General features: G+C 39.6%; 1 pseudogene across 2 annotated transcripts in view, besides 3 other annotated features; it reads left to right on the top strand.

The window, feature by feature from the left end:
• Positions 8,680-9,201: an enhancer, noted in NCBI's record as "H3K4me1 hESC enhancer chr7:102921045-102921566 (GRCh37/hg19 assembly coordinates)". NCBI's record gives its function as "activates a minimal SCP1, AML or CMV promoter by ChIP-STARR-seq in naive H9 embryonic stem cells {active_cell/tissue: H9 hESC(naive)}" and the evidence as "EXISTENCE:reporter gene assay evidence [ECO:0000049][PMID:30033119]".
• Positions 9,311-9,460: a silencer, noted in NCBI's record as "silent region_18510". NCBI's record gives its function as "represses an Ori minimal core promoter by ATAC-STARR-seq in GM12878 lymphoblastoid cells {active_cell/tissue: GM12878}" and the evidence as "EXISTENCE:reporter gene assay evidence [ECO:0000049][PMID:35858748]".
• Positions 9,333-23,466, top strand: part of DPY19L2P2 (DPY19L2 pseudogene 2) — a 105,454-nt pseudogene continuing 91,320 nt past the window's right edge. The window contains exons 1-6 of one of the 2 annotated variants that reach the window (NR_003561.2): positions 9,487-9,661; positions 9,905-9,966; positions 11,453-11,554; positions 12,161-12,185; positions 14,172-15,729; positions 17,930-18,067. The product of NR_003561.2 is annotated as a DPY19L2 pseudogene 2, transcript variant 2 (transcript). Of the gene's footprint in view, positions 9,967-11,452; positions 11,555-12,160; positions 12,186-14,171; positions 15,730-17,929; positions 18,068-23,466 lie in introns of both variants that reach the window. The other variant, NR_027768.1, reaches the window with a different exon arrangement.
• Positions 9,921-9,970: an enhancer, noted in NCBI's record as "active region_26439". NCBI's record gives its function as "activates an Ori minimal core promoter by ATAC-STARR-seq in GM12878 lymphoblastoid cells {active_cell/tissue: GM12878}" and the evidence as "EXISTENCE:reporter gene assay evidence [ECO:0000049][PMID:35858748]".

Below are 23,466 nucleotides of genomic sequence, written 5' to 3'. Positions count from 1 at the left end.
TTAATATCAGGTTCTAAGCCTATATTTTGCATATCAAAGGAGTATAAATAGAAATTCCTACCTTGATCTCCCATTTCCTGCCCAAAATATAAGTTTTTCCCATCTAAGACAATTCATTACCAGATTCTTTTTTGTTTGTTTGTTTGAAATGGAGTTTCGCTCTTGTTGCCCAGGCTGGAGTGCAATAGCACAATCTCAGCTCACCACAACCTCCGCCTCCTTGGTTCAAGTGATTCTCCTGCCTCAGCCTCCCGAGTAGCTGGGATTATAGGCGTGCACCACCACGCCCAGCTAATTTTGTATTTTTAGTAGAGATGGGGTTTCTCCATGTTGGTCAGGCTGGTCTCAAACTCCCGACCTCAGGTGACCCACCTGCCTTGGCCTCCCAAAGTGCTGGGATTACAGGCGTGAGCCACCAGTCCCGGCCATCAAATTCTGTTAATTCTACCTCTAAAATGTATCCCAAGTCCATCTTTTTCTTTCAATCCCCATTCCACACTAGTTAAACCACCATCACTTACGATCCAGACAATTAAAACCAGCCTCCTACCTGGCTTCTCAGCATTGCCTCTTTCCCTCCTCTAACTCATTCCTGACCAGTCCAAAGTGATACTAAAATGCTGGGGGGAAGATTACATCACTTCAAAGGTGCCCCATTGTCCAAAATCCAGAGTGATCTGGGCCCTCAAAATAATCTTTTTTTTTTTCTTTTTTGAGACAGACTCTTGCTCTATCACCCAAGCTGGAGGGCAGTGGCGTGATCTCGGCTCACCACAACCTCCGCCTCCTGGGTCAAGCAATTCTCCTGCCTCAGCCTCCCGGGTAGCTGGGATTACAGGCACACACCACTGTGCCTGGGTAATGTTTGTGTTTTTAGTAGACAAAACACTATAGGGTTTCACCATGTTGGCCAGGCTAGTCTCAAACTCCTGACTTCAGGTGATCCACCTGTCTCGGCCTCCCAAAGTGCTGGGATTACAGACATGAGCCACTGCACCTGGCCTCAAAATAATCTTGACCTGTTTTTCTCATGCGCAATACAAGTGGGTTTATTTGTTCGGTTTGTTTGGAGTTTTAATGGATCTTTTCCTTCCTATTTTTATTGATATTTTTAAAAAATAGAAAATAATGTGCTTTCAACAAACTCATAGATCTAATAAGTGATTATGGCAAGGTTGAATTATAGCAAGGTTAGAGGATACAAGATTAATACTTTAAAAGACCGTTGCTTTCCTTTATACCAGAAATGAACAATTGGAATTTGAAATAAACAGATATATCATCACTAATAAAAGAAAAAAGAACAAATAGGTTTAAACAAAATATTCACAAAAGCTATATAAGGTAAACTACAAAACTTTGACGAAATAAATCAAAGAAGATCTAAATAAATGGAGAGATAGTCCGTGTTCATGGATAGGTAGACTCAATATTGTGAGGATGTCTGTTCTTCCCAACTTGATCTATATATTCAATGCAAACACAACCAAAATTCCAGCCAGTTACTTGTGGCTAAGAACAAACTGATTCTAAGGTTTATTTAAAGGCAGAAAACCCAAAATAGCCAACACAGTATTAAAGAGGAAAAACAGTCAGAGGACTTACACTACCCAACTTCAAAACTTACTACAGAACTATAGTAATAAAGACAGTGTACTATTGGCAAGAGAATAGACAATTAGATAAATGGAACAGAGAGCCCAGAACTAGGCCCACATAAATATAGTTAAATGACCTTTGACAATGGAACAAAGGCAATTCAGTGGAGAAATAATAATCTTTTCAACAAATGGTACTAGAACAACTGAATATCCACATGTAAAATAATAAGTCCAAACACAGACCTTAAATCTTTTGCAAAAATTAACTTAAATGGATCATAGACTTAAATACAAAATGCAAAACTATAAAACTTCTAGAAAGTAACAGGAGAAAATCTAGGTAGTTTTGGTGTTTTAGGTACAACACCAAAAGTACAATCCATTAACAAAAAAATTAACATGATGGACTGCATGAAAATTAAAAACTTCTGTGAAAAATATTGTTAAGAGAATAAAATGACTAGCCACACTCGGAGTAAATATTTGCAAAAACACATATCGGATAAAGGATTCGTATTTCAAATATACAAAGAGCTCTTAAAACTCAACAGTAAGGAAAAGACAAATTATGGGCAAAGGATCTCTCTGAACAGATACTTAAAGATATACAGATGGCAAATAAGCATATGAAAAGATGCTCAACATCACATGTGATTAGGGAGTCGCAAATTAAAACATGAGCTACAACTACATACCAATTAGAAGAGCTAAAATTCAAAACACTAGCAATGCTAATGCTGGTGAGGATGTGGAGCAATAGGAACTCTCATTCATTGCTGGTGGAATGCAAAGTGGTACAGCCATTTAAAAAGATAGTTTGTCAATTCCTTTCAAAACCAGCATAGTCTTATCATATGATCTAGCAAGTATGTTCCCGGGTATGTACCCAAGTGAGTTAAAGTTTTATGTCCACTTAAAAATCTGCACATGACTGTTGACAGCAGCTTTATTCATAATTGCCAAAACTTAGAACTAAGATGTCCTTCAATAGGTAATGGATGAACAGTCTGTGGTACATCCATTATCCATACAATGGAATATTTTTCAACAATAGAAAGAAATGTACTATCAAGCTGTGAAAAGACTTGGAGGAATCTCAAATACATATTGCTAGTGAAAAATGAGCTATACACTGGGTGGTTCTAATTATATGACATTCTGGAAAAGGCAAAATTACAGAGATGGTAAAAAGATTGGTGGTTTCCACGGTTTGGGGGGAAAGAGGGAGAAATGAAGGGATGGCGCACAGGTGATACTTAGGCCAGTGAAATAACTCTGTGATGCTACTGTAGTAGCAGACACATGAAATCATGCATTTGTCAAAACTCATACTACTTTGCAACTCAGAGTAAGCTACAATGTAAACTATGGACTTTTTGGTCAATAATGCACCAATATTGATTCATCAATTGTAACTAATGCACTACAATAATGCAATAGTTTAATAATAGCGGAGACTGCCAGTGTGGGGGAGAGGGGATATACGGGACTTCTAGATTTTCTACTCGATTGTTCTGTAAACCTAAAACTGCTCTAAAAATAGCCTCTTAGTAAAACAACAACAACAATGAGATACCGCTTAACAACCACTGCGATGGCTATAATTATAATTACAATAACAAGTTGGCAAGGATGTGGAGAAATTGGAACCCTTATATATTGTCGGTAAGAATATAAAATGGTGTAGTCTGGCCATTGGTGAAAAGGATAAAAAAAGGTTACTTACTATATGACCCAGCAATTCCACTCCTAGGTGTACACCCAGGAAAAATGAAGAGATATGTCCACACAAAAACCCGTACACAAATGTTCATAGCAGCATCATTCATGATAGGCAAAAAGTGGAGACAACCCAAATGCCCATCAACTGACAAATGGATAAATAAAATGTGGCATATCAATATAATGGAAGATTATTCAGCTATAAAAAATGAAGTACGATAAATGTTACAGCATGGATGAACCTTGAAAACAGGATGCTAAGAGAAAGAAGCTGGTCAAAAAGGATTACATGTTATATGATCCCATGCATGTGAAATGTCCAGCATAGAAATATCCATAGAGATGGAAAATTAGTGCATGCCAGAGGCTGGAAGGAGGGAGGAATGGAAATGACTGCAAGTATGTATGGGGTTTCTTTTAGGAATAGTGAAGATTTAAATTCTGTTAACACTTATAACTAAGACACCGCACTAGCCCTTTAAATATTTCCAAATTTTAATTTTTTAAAAAAAGTCTACCTTGCTTTTTTTGAACCCAGGTATACAGCCTTAATTAAGAAATATGAAAGCTGCAAAACTCGATGGTTTTTCTACTAATGGATTATAAATTGTCACCAATAAGTATCTCAAAAAGGGTTTCAATGGATGGTACCAAAGATGAGAGCGTTTTAAAGTTTCATATTTATCTTTAGGGGATGGGTCCATACCTATGCGAAAGCAGAGCTCTGCTGACCCCAACAAGTCTGGTGGTCTTGATATAAACACTTATTATTTATTTAGGGCTGTCTCACTCTCCTCCTTATTCTCTAGTTGCCATTTAGGCTACTGGTAGATAGAAGTAATTAGAAAATAGGAACAAGGAGGCCCACCCTACTTAGAGACTGGGCAGTGGAGGTGAGAAGGAATCAGAGGAATAAAGTTCAGGGATAAGGGGGAGGCCAGGTTGGGGCTGGGCCGAAGAGATGAGAGAGAGATGAGCTCAGCCCTCTGGGTGGGCAATGACAAGTGTAGGTACTAGAGGACAAACTGTGGGATAGATTGCAGAGTAAGACCCTCAGGGTGGAGTCTGAACACACAGCTGGAGGCAGAGGAGGAGGGAAGGAAAAAAGTGGTAAAAAGAGATCTTAGTACAGGCCACTGTATGACTTAGCAGGTGCATCTACCTAAATATTTGTACAAATACCAACTAGAATCAAATAAGTTTAAAAGACCTTATTTAGGCCATGTCATCCAAAGTATTTTATAGTTGAGGAAATCAGAACTAGAGAAACAAAGTAAATTGGCCAAAGCACACTGGGCCTAGTCTAGTGATATATCTTCAACTCTATATTATAATCAAAGTTCCATCTTAAATCAACCTAAAATATTATATTATGTAAAATACAGCACACAGATTCATTATGTATCATTGGCACTTTTACTATGTTTTGCATTTAATCTGCCCATAAATATTCTGAAACTCATTCTTTAAATCATTTCCTGTTTGCCCCAAAAATACTCATCTCTAATCCTACTGTAACATCATCATCTACATTTCTGTTACATTAGGATTAGAGACAAATTCTGTTTATAAATAACTCTAAGAACAGTTTTTATATTTCATTTTCATGTTGAAAATCAGTCAGATTTGCTTCAGCATCAAATAAAGTGTTTATGTACAACTAAATGAGCACTGGCAGCAAGCTGCACTTTTTTTTTTACTAAATGGGGAAAATGGACTAATATAGTAGAGGCTTTTGCTTATTGATATTGAATGTAGTAATTCTTATATTAGTTACTTTGGTGGTAAATAAAAATAATCTCAATATGATGGAGTTTGTACATGGTATATTACCATCAAATCCAGGGAAAAATGGATTTTGTAGATTTGGGGATGTGGTACATGTATATAAGTATAGTTGTGTATATGTTGGTTAAGTCATTTAACAGTGATAACTGAGTACCAATCTGGTTCAAATGAATGTGCATATACTATGCAATTGTGCAGTCTCTCTACTTGGAGCTGAAAGAATCTCCCAATTAATTTATGGATCACCTCCCTCCCTTTGAATAAGACACGCCTTCATAAGGCATGTCTTATCTGATAAAGGCCTGGAGTTGTTTTTAAGGTATGTCGTATCTGACATAGGCCTGGAGCACTACACTACCAGGGCATGGGTGGCTTACAGAGCTCTAGTTTTTTGGTTTTGGGGTTTTTTTGGGGGGTTAGGAGTGGGGAGTGGATAGCCCCCTCATGGACACAGAAAATAGATTGGAACTCTTGGAAATTCCAACTTGTTATTACAGATGCCTTTCTTCCATAGTCCAAAAGACAGCATTGTGCAAAGTATCACTTACAGATGCATTTACATCTAAACTTGCTGTATGCTTCACGGCAAGTTGGTGTCTTTCCACTTTCTCCTTGATGAAGACCTGCATCCAATATGAATTTAAAGAGGCTCTGTAAAGTAATTCGATAGCAGCAAATATGCTATTTAAAAATGAGTCAATCCAAGATATGTAAATCCAAGAAAGGTTTTAGACTGAAGCAGTTGTTTTATAAAATACACATGTCCAAAGACACTTTTTTAGTGGAGGCAACTTGCTGAAGAAGAATTTGAAAGGATCTTTTAACATTTATAAGCAGACCATTTGAAATTACCTAGAAAATAAGTAAGCTCCAAGAAGAACATACCTATGGCTATCCTATTTTTCGAAGGCAAAAATGGAGCTACAAAATTAAACAAAGGATGTATTTCATGTTTGAATTTGTAGAAAAAGTCTTAGAAAGGTATAATGAAAATAAATAAAATTACTAAATAAAATAACTATGAGATCCTAAGAATTTTGCCACCATCTTTGGGAATAACTAATGCTGATAAAGTAGAGACTAATACTTTGGTGCCAATTCCAACTCCTTGCACTGTACAAAGGGGGAAAAGTATCTTAATGCATAAGAAATTATGAGACAGCACAAATAAAAACCAATCTTTTATGCAGAAAGTTTCAATTAAAGTGAAATTCACATTTTAAATTACCAAATTATAACCGGAAAAGTTTGTAATGTTTTCAAAATGGTCTTTGCTAAACTACCTCTATCTAGCCTGGAGGCTAGAGATGGAACTTAACTATCCACTTAAATTATATATATGTATTTGTGCAAAGTTAAAACTTTAAATCTAATAAATTATTCGAATCAATTAAAACAAAGTCATTATTATTTGGAAAACTAAATCTTGGCCATGATGAATATCTTAATTATTTTGACATATGAAATATGCAATGTAATTTTTATGTGGGGTTACATTTGGAATTTTCCTACATTTCATATTTAGTAAATGGATTTATTATAAGAACAGTGATTTTTTTTAAAGAATGAATTTAATAAGTAACTAAGTTTTGAAATTTTGATTTACAGATCATTATTGCCATCTGCTGGTTACATAGTTTAATTGCATTTTTTAAAATTCCCAATTGTTTTACTAAAAGACAAAGGAAAAACTGAGGCAAGTTTTAGGTATCCATAACCGGATTAGAGATCTCTATGTAAGACAGATAATTTGCAGCCAGGTGCAGTGGCTCATACCTGTAATCCCAATACTTTGGGAGGCAGAGGCGGCATGAATGCTTGAGGCTAGGAGTTTTAGACCAGCCTGGGCAACATAGTGATACCCCATCTCTACAAAAATAAACAAATTAGCTGTGTGTGGTGGCCTGCACCTGTAGTCCTTGCTACTCAGGAGGCTGAGGCAGGAGGATACCTTGAGCCCAGGAGTTCAAGGTTTCAGTGAGCACCATCACACTTTAGCCTGTGTGACAGTGAGACCCTATCTTGAGAAAAAAAAAAAAAGCTAAATAATATGCAGCCGACACATGAAAAAATGCTCATCATCACTGGCCATTAGAGAAATGCAAATCAAAACCACAATGAGATACTATCTCACACCAGTTAGAATGGCGATCATTAAAAAGTCAGGAAACAACAGGTGCTGGAGAGGATGTGGAGAAATAGGAACACTTTTACACTATTGGTGGGACTGTAAACTAGTTCAACCATTGTGGAAGTCAGTGTGGCGATTCCTCAGGGATCTAGAAGTAGAAATACCATTTGACCCAGCCATCCCATTACTGGGTATATGCCCAAAGGATTATAAATCATGCTGCTATAAAGACACATGCACACATATGTTTATTGCGGCACAATTCACAATAGCAAAGACTTGGAACCAACCCAAATGTCCATCAATGATAGACTGGATTAAGAAAATGTGGCACATATACACCATGGAATACTCTGCAGCCATAAAAAATGATGAGTTCATGTCCTTTGTAGGGACATGGATGAAGCTGGAAACCAGCATTCTCAGCAAAGTGTCACAAGGACAAAAAATCAAACACCGCATGTTCTCACTCACAGGTGGGAATTGAACAATGAGAACACTTGGACACAGGAAGGGGAACATCACACACCGGGGCCTGTCGTGGGGTGGGGGGAGCGGGGAGGGATAGCATTAGGAGATATACCTAATGTAAATGTTGAGTTAATGGGTGCAGCACACCAACATGGCACATGTATACATATGTAACAAACCTGCACGTTGTGCACGTGTACCCTAGAACTTAAAGTATAATAAAAACATATATATATAAAAGCTAAATCATGAGGCATCTCTGTTTCAAAGATGATAAGATAATGCAAGAATATATTGCATAATTATATGGGCTGGAGAAAAAGCATAATTAATATGGGCTGGAGAAATGGGCTGGGGCTTGGAAGGTGACAGCATTCAGATGGGCAGGGAGAAAAGGATGTAAAAGCCAAGGGATGGCTTTTCCACATGAATAAAGGAATTCAGCAGTTATGATGTCTCAGGCTGTGGACTTCACCTGAAATGACTGAGATGGAAGATTTTGTGCCCGAGGAAGTGGGAAATTAAAGTTGAAAAGGTATATTGGGCAAATATTGAAGGCATTGGTGAGCAAGCCTAGGACTTGACTTGTGGGCCACGAACATTTTTGTGCTGTGTTGCATCAGGAAAAATTAACCTGGCCACAATGAGCCATGCTTTAGACTGGTCAGTTAGGATATGGGAGTTCAATTTGATCCATCATCAAACAGATGGAAAGTGAAGCGGTGTGGGCTCCAGCATGTGGCCCGTGACAGAGGACATGGAAAATGTCAGTGGCCCCAGTGCATCTGTGCCAGCCGCTTTGGCCTCTTGTAGGGCTGTGCGGTGACTGGGAGCTAAGCGCTCCCCTCTTAGTTGGTCCTGGCTGGTGCTGAAAGCGCTTGAGCACACCGCTCCTAGGGCTGATGACTTCTGAGGAACCTTATTGGAAAAGCATTTTCCCCTAAGATTCAGTAAACGCTGTCCCGTGCCAAGGAAGGGGCGTCAACCTGAGGCTCTGGGATCAGACCCACCAGACTCACGCCGGCTCTGCCACGTGTTGCCCGCAGTCTCGGCCCGTTCCCTCCGTGTTGGCAACGGGCACTGACTGTCCGATACCTCAGCGATCGTAGGAGAGCAGAGACGTTCCTAATGCCCGGAGCACCACCGGCGGGCCGGCGGTTCCGTTGGCTTCCCTGACACACTTCCTACAGTCATTTCTTTCAGCTGAGATCTTCCCCTTCAATACCTCGTTAATTAACGTGTAACCTTTTGGTTAAAATGTCAGAGCTAAGACTAAACGCGAAGAAAAGAATGAAACCACGGGAAGTTCTTCAGACTTAGTCGCCAGCAAGGTTATGGCCCGAAGCGGTGCAGGGGCGGCGCGCGGGGAAGCTACTGGCGGAGCTGTGCGCACTGCGGGTGCTGCAGGCGCTGGGGAGAGTGTGGAGAGGCTGCGTGGAGCTGTGCGCTCGGGGTGGGGGCTGCACTCCCAATGAAGCGCGTGAAGGGCAAGCGGTGATGGGTTCTGCGCCAGTGGGGCTGGGAGCCTGTCGGGGGCTGTACGTGAGGCTGCGCGCAAGGTGAGAACTGCGCATGTGGGCTTAGGAACTGCGCGCACCGAAGTCTGCAGGCGCTGGGGAGGGTGTGGGGGGCTGTGCGTGGGGCTGCCCTCACCGGAAGCTGCACGCTCGGGGAAGCGCGGAGGCGGGGGTGCTGCGCGCGCTGGGGAGCACGTGGGGGGACACGCAGGGACTGCCCGCGCGAATGGCTTCCAACGCATGCGCCCCACCCTACATTTCACAGTCGCCATGACGACCAGGAGGTCCGCTAGTCAACGGCTCGTCAACGGCTGCGGGGACAAGTCCGTTGAGGCTGCCAGGCGAGTCAGGCCTTTCTGGACCTCGCCTGACTCGGCTGGGCTGTGCCTGAAATTGACCCAGCTCCACTAGGAATTATGAAGAAACAAGGAGTAAGCCCAAAGCCGCTGCAATCTTCCCGCCCCAGCCCGTCTAAGCGGCCCTGCGGGGCCTCCCCCGCCCGGGAGCGGGAGGTGGAAAAGTCGGCCCTAGGCGGCGGGAAACTGCCGGGGGGCGCCAGGAGGTCCTCCCCGGGGAGGATCCCAAATCTGAAAAAGCGAAAAGGCTTGGAGCTAAAGGTGGTGGCCAAGGCCCTTCTCGGCCCCTTCCAGTTCGTCTGTAATTCCCTGGCGCAGCTCCGGGAAGAGGTGCACGAACTGCAGGCGCGGTGGTTCCCCAGCAGAACCACTCTGCATCGGTAAGGAGAGGTCAGGAGAGCCCTAGGAGGGAGGCGCATCGCGCTTTTCTTCAGTCTTGAAGGAGATCAGTTTAACAAGCAAGGGTTTGTGGGTCCCTAGTAGGAAATAATAGCAAGGTCCGAGTAGACAGAAGTTGGCCAAAAATCTTGTCATTGAACCAGGGGAGAGAGAGAGATAGGGAGTATATTGGTTTGAAGGGCTGTCAGATCGCAGAGAGTGTTTTAAGGTCTAGGAGTTTTAAAGGCTGAGGGGAAGGATCAAGGGAAGAGGATGAGATTAAGATTCCAAGAGAGGAAATAATTAGTGGAGCAAGTCTTGGAATATTTGGAAGGGTAGAATTAAAGGCACAAATGTGAGAAGCTAACTGTGGAAAAGAGGAGAGAGAATTCCTTTTCTGAGATGGCAGGGAGTAGAAAAGCAAGAATTACTATATGGAGAAATGTTAAAGTGGAGATGAAAGAAGCTGGGAGTGCTGGCGTCTAATGGTCTTTGTTTCAGTGAAGTATGAGGCTGGGTCACCTTCAGAGGTGAGATTGATAGGATGCTGGGGTCCAGGGGACATGCTTCTGTCACAGCTTGGAAAGGGCATGTGATAAGCCCTTCAAGCATTTAGAATACTGGCATCATTACACCTTATCATTTTTTTCATATGTGGTATGTGGGTTAAGGGAGGGAGTGAGAGACAGAAAGATTTTGAGCATCTTTGGAAAGCTGGATGAATTTGGTACTATATTTGACCTTTTCCTTATGTATCATCTGAAGAGTTTTTGCCAGTGTATATAATTGTTAGGAGAATTAGAAATAGGATACAAATATAGTTGAACAGGATAGTCTGTATATTTTAAAATTAATGAAGCCTAATAAACAATTAATGAGCATCTTTACAACCATTTAAAGTTTTCAACCTTTTAAAAATTATAGCAACCGTGCTTGCAGACAGTCCAAAAATACACCATGGGCCATACTTTGCCTATCCTGGTATAAAACAAGTAAATCTTCCGAGAAGTGTTTAAGATAAGCCCAGGACAGTTAGTAATATAGGAAAAGATCTGGGTAAGCATGGTTGAGAATTTCAACATTGCAATTTTTTAATTTTTAAAAATTTAATTTCTTCAATAATTATTGAATTAATTTGCATTTATTTTGTTAGCCAAGTGAAGTAATTTTTGAATTTTTAAGAGGCTATTATTGGTGGTTTATAAGATGACTTGCCAAGTATATTTGGGATAACCATAAGAAATACCATTATAAAATCTCAGAAGGGAAGTAGGACTTCTGGAATAGCCAAGGAAATGCACTCCTCCATGACGACAATGAAAATACTTGGAAAATTATCAAAATCATTTCCTTCAAAACTTTGGAAATTAACCAAAGGTTTACAACAATGTAAAGGGCATTAATTCAAGAAAAGCTGCTGAACCTCTATAAGAACAGCAAAGTTTGTGGTGTTTTAACTTGTTCTATTCCCCACTCTTCTCTCTCCAGGGGAATTGAAAACAAGGAATTCCCCAACCAAACAGGGGCACAGGCTGTGTTTGCAGCTCCTGTAAAAGCTCCATACCCAGAGCCGTGTCTCCCAGCTCCCAGGTGAAGTCTTATGTATACATGGGGCATTGGCCCAGGTGACTCCATACTAGTATCCTAGGCCATCTAGTAGCTCCTAGGTCTGGGCTCTTGCAAAAAGCTTGCAATTCATCAAGGGTTGAGCTGCACATTGGGGCTTTTAGATGTGCTGCTGAGGAAGTGATTTCCTGCATTTAATCATCTTCCGATGAATGCTAGAGAAACTGATCTAGAGTGGCTCCTCTTGGTTAGAACTAGCTGAAGCATACTGTATATACTTACTACTTTTAAAAATTTCATATAAAGGAATAGAAAATAATACTGGAAAAAAAACAAAAAAGGTCACAATCTTCCATAATTCCATCACTCTTACCAATTACCTGAAGTTAAAAAACCCTCTCAAGTTTCTCCCTTTGCTTATCAAGCCCTGCTGCAGAGAGGTAAGCTCTGTTCAGAATTTGCTTTGTGTCCTGGATTTTTTCCTATGCTCACAGAGACAGGATTAGCTGGCGGTCTTGCTTTGTGTGCTATCTTTCTAGACATGTAAAATAATACATTTGAAATACTTGTTTTAATGGTATTTTATAATAAAGCAGCTATTAATAACTTTCCTTTTTTTCTTTATTCCAGCCGTCTTTGTGGCAATTCTACATTGGTAAGATGTAGTTTCAGTTTGAAATATTTAAAAACATTTGAATTAAAAATTGCCATCACTCTTTGCATACAGTAAAACAATAACTTCTGGCTATATTTGTAGAACATCTTTATGTGCACCAATTTATACATGTATTTTGCTTTTTTACAAACCTCATATGTGAAACAGCATTTACAAAATAGATGCATTAGGGGAATAGTAACTTATGAATTAAAATATTTTTGCTTTACCAAATAATTCACCACACGTTTCTTTAAATATCTAGCTTTTCTAGTGTGTTTTGCATGTGTAGTTCATTTAAAACCTTCCTTTACTTTATGGTAATTATATGTTGCTAGTGAAATAACTTTTTTTTTTTTTTGAGACAGAGTCTTGCTCTGTCTCCCAGGCTGGAGTGCAGTGGTGTGATCTTGACTCACTGCAACCTCTGCCTCCCAGGCACAAGTGATCCTTGTGCCTCAGCCTTCCAAGTAGCTGGGATTACAGGTGTGCACCACCAGACCCAGCCAATTTGTTGTATTTTTGGTGGAGACAAGGTTTCACCATGTTGGCCAGGCTGGTGTCAAACTCCTGGCCTCAAATGATCCACCTGCCTCGGCCTCCCAAAGTGTTGGGATTACAGGCATGAGCCACCACACTCAGCCAGTGAAATAACTTTGGTGATAAAGTTTTAGTAACACCTGCCAATTGGAAATCAGGTAAAAAAGAAGGTAAAGATTCTGCAGTGGTTATATGGTTAAATGGCTCTGAGTCTTTCAGTGTGCAAGCCTGTGTACATTATTTTACAAAAGTGTTTATAAAAATTTGTAAAATAATATTTCCTTCTGAAATATTTTATTTTTACCTGTGCTCAGTGATTTCTACCCTTGGGAGGTATGAGATCTGCCCCTATGTTCTATTGACACAGTGCTGCTCTAGACATTTAGTCTGCAGGGAGATTTTGATGTTAGAACTGAGGCTGCAATGGTAGGGAATATTCCTGCAGTTTTTGGTACCCTGGCATATGGCCTACATGTAAAGAAGGGTTAGTGGAAAACAGGGTTAATATATGGAACTTTGCTTTATTTTCAACTTCACTGGAAAGTACTGACTACATAAGTTAGCTATAGCATAATTGTTGGCCATAGCTAATTTTGTTTATCACATATGCTCTTTTCTTCACTGCCTATAGCTGTTGAGTTTCACTACTAAAAGGTCTTCAAGTACACACCTGTATTCTTTGGCACTTGAAAGTTGATCTTTTATGTGATATTATACTTATTGTAAGTCTGCTTTGATCTAAAGTAATTTTATTTAAAATTATATTCTGAACCCTCTTCAACAGTTATGGAGGTATTTCCCAAGGCTGGTACATTAGAATCACTTGAAACTTAAAAAACAAACACTAACCTGCCTCTGTTCTGATTTAGAGGCCTGGGATGGAAGGAAGGGTGAAAAAAGCCACAAGAATTTTAGATATACAATTAAGGTTTTTTTTTGTTTTTGTTTTTTTGAGACAGAGTCTCTATCTGTCACCCAGGCTGGAGTGCAGTGGCATGATCTCTGCTCACTGCAACCTCCACCTGCTGGATTCAAGAAATTCTCCTGCCTCAGCCTCCCTAGCAGCGAGGATTACAGACATGCACTACTATGGCTGGCTAATTTTTGTGTTTTTAGTAGAGACGGGGTTTCACCATGTTGGCAAGGCTGGTCTCGAACTCCTCACCTCAAGTGATCTGCCCGCCTCGGGCTCCCAAAGTGCTGGGATTACAGGCATGAGCCAACGTACCCGGCCACAATTAAGCTTAAAAACCACTGAGTTAAGGAATTTCAGGTGTGTGCCATACTGGATTATAAATGCCGAAAAACATACAAGTTAGTAAGCAAATTATAAAATTAATATTATAACAATTTATTGTTTTCTTTTTTATGGCTTTCTTATTGTTTATTTTACTGTTAGTTTTGAAACTTGTTCTTATTTTAATATGATTCTTCATTTTTTTCTAGGTTACATTTAGTAACACTTTTTGAAAATGATCATCATTTCTCTCACCTCTCATCTTTGGAACGGGAGATGACTTTTTGCATTGAAACGGTTAGGTTTCTTCTTCTAACGAATTAATTTGTGGTTTAAGAATAGCCAGACCGAGAGGTGACAGCATGCTGGCAGTCCTCAGAGCCCTTGCTTGCTCTCGGCACCTCCCCTGCCTGGGCTCCCGCTTTGGTGGCATTTGAGGAGCCCTTCAGTCCCCCACTGCACTGTGGGAGCCCCTTTCTGGGCTGGCCAAGGCCGGAGCCCACTCCCTCAGCTTGCAGGGAGGTGTGGAGGGAGAGACACGAGCGGGAACCGGGGCTGTGTGCTGCACTTGCGGGCCATCTGGAGTTCCGGGTGGGCGTGGGCTTGGTGGGCCCCGCACTCAGAGCAGCCAGCCAGCCCTGCTGGCCCCGGGCAATGGGGGACTTAGCACCTGGGCCAGTGGCTGCGGAGGGTGTACTGAGTCCCCCAGCAGTGCTGGCCCACCGGCGCTGCGCTCGATTTCTCGCTGGGCCTTGGCTGCCTTCCCACGGGGCAGGGCTCGGGACCTGCAGCCCGCCATGCCTGAGCCTCCTACCCAATCCATGGGCTCCTGTGCGGCCTGAGCCTCCCCGACGAGCACCACCCCCTGCTCCACGGCGCCCAGTCCCATCGACCACGCAAGGGCTGAGGAATGCGAGCGCCCGGCACAGGACTGGCAGGCAGCTCCACCTGCAGCCCCAGTGCAGGATCCACTAGGTGAAGCCAGCTGGGCTCCTGAGTCTGGTGGGGACGTGGAGAGTCTTTATATCTAGCTCAGGGATTGTAAATACACCAATCAGCACCCTGTGTTTAGCTCAAGGTTTGTGAGTGCACCAGTCAACACTCTGTATCTAGCTGCTCTGGTGAGGGCGTGGAGAGTCTTTATGTCTAGCTCAAGGATTGTAAATACACCAATCAGCACTCTGTGTCTAGCTCAAGGATTGTAAATACACCAATCGGCACTCTGTATCTAGCTCAAGGTTTGTAAACACACCAATCAGCACCCTGTGTTTAGCTCAAGGTTTGTGAGTGCACCAGTCGACACTCTGTATCTAGCTGCCCTGATGGGGACGTGGAGAACCTTTGTATCTAGCTCAGGGATTGTAAACGCACCAATCAGCGCCCTGACGAAACAGGCCACTCGGCTCTACCAATCAGCAGGATGTAGGTGGGGCCAGATAAGAGAATAAAAGCGGGCTGCCCGAGCCAGCATTGGCAACCCGCTCGGGTCCCCTTCCACACTGTGGAAGCTTTGTTCTTTCGCTCTTTGCAATAAATCTTGCTACTGCTCACTCTTTGGGTCCACGCTGCTTTTGTGAGCTGTAACACTCACCATGAAGATCTGCAGCTTCACTCCTGAGCCCAGCGAGACCACGAGCCCACCGGGAGGAACGAACAACTCCAGACACGCCACCTTAAGAGCTGTAACACTCACCGCGAGGGTCCACCGCTTCATTCTTGAAGTCAGTGAGACCAAGAACCCACCAATTCCGGACACAAGACTATGAGGTAGAAATGTATTAGGAATTGAAATGAACTTTTGGCGAACTGCACTGTTTCATAAGCTATTACCCAGGTTTATTATTTAAATAGTAAAGTGTTTGAGATTATTTTTCTGTTACTTCATTATCTCTCACCCTTTCCTAATGCAGACTTCTTTTTAAGGTAATAAAGATGAATTATAATAGCTGAGGAAGGAGGACAAAGAAAGCACTGAAGAAGTGATAAAGGGGAATGAAATGAGATGTTATCAGAAATTGCTTTCTCTTTGGCTACGGTTAGGAGATCCCATGTTTTACCTGGGCCTTTTAATGATGACGATTATTATTTGGCTCTCTTTTGATTTCAAGATAATCTCTTTTAAGAGATAACTTTTGATATAGTTTTTAAATAATTTTCTGTTTTTCAATACTTAATCTTAAAAATGGAGTTTTCTGCCGTACGTATCTCACATAATTATTGTGAGGAGTAAGTGGGATAGCAAATGCCAAAATTGCGCAATTTTACATTTAGAAGACAGCACAACCGTCCATCTTCCAGATCTGCTCACAGCTGGTCGGGGGCCTAGTGAAGCATTGAAACTGGCTCTCCTCAGTCTAGCCATTGCTTTTTGTTTAAATTATAGTAAAATTTAGATTTAAATTTGTAATAAAAAATTTCAATGTTTATCATTTAAGTGTACAATTCAGTGACATTAAGTACATTCATGTTGTCTTGCAACTATTAACCACTGTCCACATCCAGAACATTTTGCTATCCCAAACAGAAACTCTACCCACTAAACACTAATCACACCCAGCTCTATTTTCTGTCTCTGTGATTTTGCCTATGCCAGGTCCCTCAGTCACTGCTTTTTAATTTTCATCCCTATATTGCCCCATAAAGTTTCAAAGCATTGGATACATTAACATATGTATGACATTTGAACATTTTAAAGGTATTTCCAAAGACAGAATATAAAATATTATTAAATAAAGAGTGTAACTGTGGCAGAGTCTGGACTTTGGTGACAGATCGCTGGATTCTAATAGCGGTTCTATGCTTTATTGTATGATGGCTAGTCAGGTCACCTCTCAGATTCTCAGTAATCTCGTCTGCTCAATAGAAATAATGCCAATCTTAGAGGGGTTTAGGGAAAATGAAGGGAGATAATGAATGGCAGCACATAGCAGAATACTTAAAACAATAGCTGTTATTAGTAACTTATTTATATATTTAATATTTCCCTAAATATAGTCTTTTGCATATTAGATATCCTTTAATTGTTGTATTGCTTTGTTATCCTCCTAAGCAGAAAGGAAAATTCTTTATGAATTCATATTTTGCCAATCAACTATGAGATAATGGCCTTTCAGACATCAGCTAAAACAGACCTGTAATTTAGTAGTTACTCGTGTTGGATTAGGCAGATATGATTATAGCATAAAGCATTTTTTAGGGAGAATGCATTTTAAACAATGTGGCCCTTTTTTGCTTTTAGATTTTAGGAGCGAAAGCAAGAAATTGTTGGGGAAATAAGACACAACATGCTGTTGTTAATCCATGAATTTTAACTCAACAGCACTTTTACTATCCTAATGAAGCCTTTATTTTATATGCTGAAGTGTAAGACACTAAAATAATCTGCTTTTTAGTACATAGCATTTGTGAGCAACAATAATCAATTGACATTGAGCTTTCACTTTGCACAGAGGATTAGATGGAGCTATGAATTAAGCTAGAAGCACTGGATTCCTTGCTCATGATGCTTATGGTCATTATATTTTATTTCCTGAGAGCATGGGAAAAAAAGTAATTTTCTATATGCAAAGTTGTACAGAGGCATGAAGGCATCCCTGTTTATGATAGAATTAATCAGATGTCAACCTTCAAGCATCTCAAATGTGGGGGATAAAACCAGATGTGGGAAAATCAAACATATACTGTCTACACATTTTAAGACATTATTAGAGAAACTCTTTAAATTGTTTGACCATCCCTCTAACTCTTTAGTTTGAAAGCCTATAGAAAATTTGAAAGAATAGTACAGTGATCACCTGAAAATACGTGTTCTTTAAAGTCCAAGAATGCAAAATAGCAAGGAGTGATTAGGAAGTTGTCTTATTAACCTTTCTTTTTTCAGAAAAAAAGTTCTAAAGAAGTGATAAAAATAAATATTTTAAAGTTTTAATTACATTGACAATATGTGCCTTTTTTTTTTTTAAAAAAGGGACTTTATTATTCTTACTTCAAGACCATTATTGAAGCACCTTCATTTTTGGGAGGACTGTGGATGATTATGAATGACAGGCTTACTGAATATCCTCTTGTAATTAATGCAGTAAAACGCTTCCATATTTATCCAGAGGTGAGTCATAATTTGAGACAAATAATATTTGTAGAGTGATCCTCTTTGTCAGATAAAAATAGTAAGCACAATCTTGTTAAGAAAGGGAGGGGACGTTTCAGGTTTATTAATTGTATGTATCCTTATAGTTGAGTAGAATATCATAAGTTCCTCTTAAAATTTAAAGACCCCAGAAACAGTTCTCTCATGAACTCGAAGAATGAACCTTAGTGTGTAAATAATGGCCAGGGTAATAGACAAGCCAAATGGAAAAGAGGGTCATGGGAGCCAAAAAGTTCTAAATAGGGATGGGCTTTTGGCCTTGGACACCTCGTGGGTGAGCACGATGACCACGTGAAGGGACAGTGGAGTGATGAGCTTGAATAGTGATCTTGGAGTTATGTTAGTAAAGTAAGATTTATTTAGTCACACAGCCAGAAATCTATTACTATTTTCCAACACTTAGCCTAAAAGAGTATGGTTGTTATAGTAGTCTATAAATGCTAGAAATTTGAAAAACGGAGACAAAATTAGTGAACTCAGTTTGTGAACTCAAGATAAATGCTTAATTTGACACCATGGTAAATACTACTGTTGAGTTTAAAGTTGTCTCAGAATCCAGCATATTAATGAAAAGTTACTGCTTTCTAGTCCTTTATTCATATTTTTATAGCTTTTAAAAATTATTATTCTTTAGATTTTGAAATGCTTAAAACTACAGACTTAGAAAATAATATTCAAATATGTGTGATCAACCATCTAAAATAAATAAATGCTAACCTTTGTCATTTTTGCATCAGCTATTTTAAAATAATTAAAATATTATAAATACAGTTAAAATCACCTTTGTTCTGCTCCTAGTCCAACTTATACCTTTATTAAAATTTGGTGTGCGTATCCATCCAATCTCTGTTTTCAGAGATTGTTTTATTATATGCTTTAAGTCCACATAAATGATCTCATACTGAATGTGTCACTGTAGGATTTTTTCTTCAAAATTGTATTTTTGAACTTTCTGTATATATATATTTCTTTAATTTTAACCATTTTATGAATTGTAAAGTTTATGTATTTCCCCATCTTAATATATTATTTCCAGTTTTTTGATTACAAGCAATGTAATCTAAAATGTACATTTTTGTATGGTTTTCTTCTGTATATGTGCAATATTTTGTCTAGGATATATACCTAGAAGTGGAATTGTTGTTATAGAGTGTGTGCTTTTTCAGCTTTACCAGATATTGGTAAATTGCTGTCTGAAGCAAATGTAGCAGTTCACACTGCTGTCTAGAATTTTCTCATATCCTTATTAGATTTTGAATTGTCAGACCCTGCGATTTTTACTCTTATGATGGCTGTGATATGCTTTTTGTTTTAATTTGTACTTCCTTTATTATTTATGGGGATAAATATATTTCCATGTTTAATAAGCATTTGGATTTGTTCTTCTGTCAACAACATATATAAATCTTTGTCACCAAATCAGCTTTTTTGAGGTATGACTTACATGTAATAAAATGTGCCAATTTTGATTGTACCATTCTCTGAGTTTTGACAAATGTATGAAACTATATATCCATCACCACAATTGAGTTACAAAACATTTTCAGAATGCCAAAAAATGCTCCATTGTGGTAACTGTCTTTTCCCCCATTGAATTAATTGTCTTGGTACAATCGTTGAAAATTGGTTGACCACATTATATGTGAATGTGTTTCTGGATTCTATTATTCTCTTGATCTATAATTATGCCAATACCACACTGTCTTGATTACTGTAACTTTAGAATAAATCTTGAAAGTAGATAGTTCTCCAACTTTTTCCTTTTTAAAATTGCATTTCTATCTAAATGTTAGGGTCAGCTTATTAATTTCTCAAAAAAAAAACCTGCTGTGATTTTGATTGGGATTATGTTGGATTTGTACATGTATTTGGGAAGAATTGACATCTTAACAATATTGAATTTTCCAATCCACGATCATGGTATAGATCTCCATTTTGTTGATTATTTTTAATTTGTCTCAGCAATGTTTTGTATTTTTTCAATGTACAGTCTTCCCCAGTACTCTTTTATTATAAATGGTATTATTTTAAAATTTTTATTTTTCCATTTTTTGTTGCTTTTGAATAGAAATATAGTTGATTTTCAATATTAACTTTGTACCTGCATCTCGATGAAGTCAGTGGTTCTAGTAGCTTTTTTGTAGAATCCTTTGGATTTTTCTATGCACATGATGATACAGTCTGTAATTAAAAGCAGTTTTACTTTCCAGTAGATATACCCTAAATGTTTTTAAACAGCTTTATTGAGGTATAATTGACATATGATAGCTGGTCATATAGATGAAGTGTAAAGTTTGATTAGTTTTGGCCCACCTGTAAAACCATCACCAGTCAAGACAATGAGCATATCCCTCCATCCCGAACTTTCCCTGTGCTCCTTGGTAATCCCTCCTTCTTTCGTCTCTCTTTGCCCACATCCCATCCCTAGGAAACCACTAATATTCTTTTTGTCATTATGGTTTAGTTTGCATTTTCTAGAATTTTATAGAAATAGAATTGTTCTGTGCCTAGGTCTTAATATATGTGGTTGACTGAGCGATGACACAGATAGATCAGTACCGCTAAAGAAGAATTTATGAGTAATACTGCCTTGGAGAAGAGGACAAGTCACATCACACAGAGCCACAGGAGAGAGACAGTTTGGTCAGGCAGAAGCAGTATTGAGGGTAAAGCCTAGGCCATCGCTTTTATTGGGGTTTCTATGGGAAAGGCAAAACAAGGCAGAGTTTAAAAAAGAAATAAAATCAAAAGAGAGTTGACAAACTGGGAGAAGATATTTGTTTGGTTTCTTTTTGTTTGTTTTGAGACAGAGTCTCACTTCATTGCCCAGGTTGAAGTGCAGTGGTGTGATCTCGGCTCCCTGCAGCCTCTGCCTCCTGGGTTCAAGCGATTCTCCAGCCTCAGCCTCCGAATAGCTGGGATTAGAGATGTGCACCACCATGCCTGGCTAATTTTTATATTTTTAGTAGGAACGGGGTTTCACCATGTTAGCCAGGCTGGTCTCAAACTCCTGGCCTCCAGTGATCCTCCTGCCTCGGCCTCCCAAAGTGCTGGGATTACAGGCGTGAGCCACCATGCCCGGCCAGGAGAAAATATTTGTAATATATCTCACAGATAAAGGGCTAATACACCTAATATATAAAGAACTCTTAATTTATATTTTTAGCTTCTGGAGGCTTTAGGTGTCAATTTGGTGATGAAGAGAGCTGGAATGATGGCACTCTCATTCCTACAACAAGGAAAATAGCTGGACAAACTGCAATATAACACCTTTTCTTGAACCCTTCAGAAAACTGAGGTCAGAGGACAACCAACACAAAATTTCAAGAAGAACAGGTGCCTGCAGAAAGCACAAAGAACTGAGCATTCTGGAATAGGAACTGCTTGACTGAGATAGGGGCTTTTGAATGCCATATAAGCTGGTACAAAGATTAAACCAGAAATTTTTTAATGAACTGTTACAGGCTTAGTGTGAGCTGGTATGAAATGTGAAGGTGAGCAGGCTCTGTCAGAGAAGATTGGGGAAGTATTTAGAGAAAGCTTTCCCTATGGTGCTGGCTAGGGGACAGGAAAAGCAATCATTGCTCGGACTCTGCTCACATCCATGTTGTGAAATCTCTCCTAAGGAAAAGAAAGCCATGATCTGCAGGGAGAACGGTATCAAACCCATTGTCTGAGGACACTGGTGGGTATCCAGTGAAGCTGGTGAAAGAGAACAGGCAGGAAAAAAAAAACCTAAATGTTAAAAAACAGTCATATTCCTTGAGGAGGGAACACTTACGAAGGGTACAGCCCCCAAATCCCAAATTCAGAGTACCTGTCTAAGATTGAGGCTTAATTGGAGCATCAGAAAACCTGTCACTCTTCCCCCATTACATTAACAAGCCTTTGGTAAAAATCACAGTGGAATGTGACTGAGTGAGTTTTGCCAGGCATTTTCTTTCTAGGGAGCAGCACAAAGGAAAACCCAAAACCAAGTTCAAAACAAGGTACCACTAGAGGAATTTGAAATCGTTAGTGTCCATAGCGGCAACAAACTCTAGCTTTGGTAACTATAGCCATTACAAACTTCAAATCCAGCCCACCCTAACTAGATTAACACAAATCCCTACGATAAAGACCTAACGGTAAGAAAGATGTTCTTAATTTCAAGCATAAAAATACTGACCTCTATGTCTACTGTCTTCTACAACATGTCTAACTTTCTGCAAAAATTATGAGGCATACCTAAAGGTAAGAAAAAGCACAGTCCGAAGAGACAGAGCAGTCATCAGGCAGACCCAAAGAAGGTACAGATATTGGAACAACTGGACAGGAGATTTAAGTAACTATGGTTAATATTTTAAAGACCCAAATGGAAAAGACAGATGATATGCAAGATCAGATAGCTAATTTTAGCAGAGTTGGACACTGTAAGAATCAAAGGGAAATGCTAGAAATAAAAAAAATGAAGTAAAAAATGCCTTACATGAGCTCATCAGCAGACACAGCACAGCAGAAGAAATAATCAATGAGTTTGAAGATAGGTCAATAGGAATGCAAAGAGAAAAAAAAGTGGAGGAAGGAAATGGTAGAACATCTAAAAGCTGTGACACCATATCAGATATTCTAATATATGCATAATTAGAATCCCAGTGGGAGAGGAAGGGATGAGGAAGAATAAACATTTGAAAAATAAATGACTGAGAATTTTCCAAAATTAGTGACAGATACCAAACCATAGATCCAAGAAACTCAGAGAACATCAAAAAGGATAAATATCAAACAAATGCGTGAATGAATAGATAAACAAACCAAACATGCATATGCAAACCTAGGGGTAAATGTAAACACATTAAAGAGTATGAGACAGAGACTATCTCACAAAGCCTAAAATACTTATCGTCTGGCTCTTTATAGGAAAAGCTTGCTGACCTCTTATCTAACAGAATGAATAGACTAGGGATATAATGTGAGTTTCTTGGGCAGCACCAAGGGCTTCATTTGAGGTGGATGGTCTTGAAATGAAAACAAAACCAGCCAACAGAATTGTGTTCCTCCAGCTATAATCAGATTCCCAAGTATAAACACGGAGAAAATGGAGAGTTGGATTTAATCATGTTGGGTCAGCTTTCCCTTGGATGTAGAAAGCTAAAAAGAACATTGCTCATGGCCTTCCAGCAATGTCAGCAGCGACAAAAACAAAAGCCAGACAGTCTTCAGATTTACAACTTTTCCTGAAGCAGTCAGGGAGCTGAGGTCACAGGGCAATCAAATAACCCAAAATAAATTAAAAAGATAAAGCATGTGCAAGGAGAACAGAAACAAGCATTTAATTACATGGGTCATGCCACTAGACACAATGGTAAAGAATTCAG

Source organism: Homo sapiens, chromosome 7, assembly GCF_000001405.40.
Source record: "Homo sapiens chromosome 7, GRCh38.p14 Primary Assembly".
NCBI lineage: Eukaryota > Metazoa > Chordata > Mammalia > Primates > Hominidae > Homo > Homo sapiens.
This window is presented reverse-complemented; position numbering and strand designations above follow the sequence as displayed.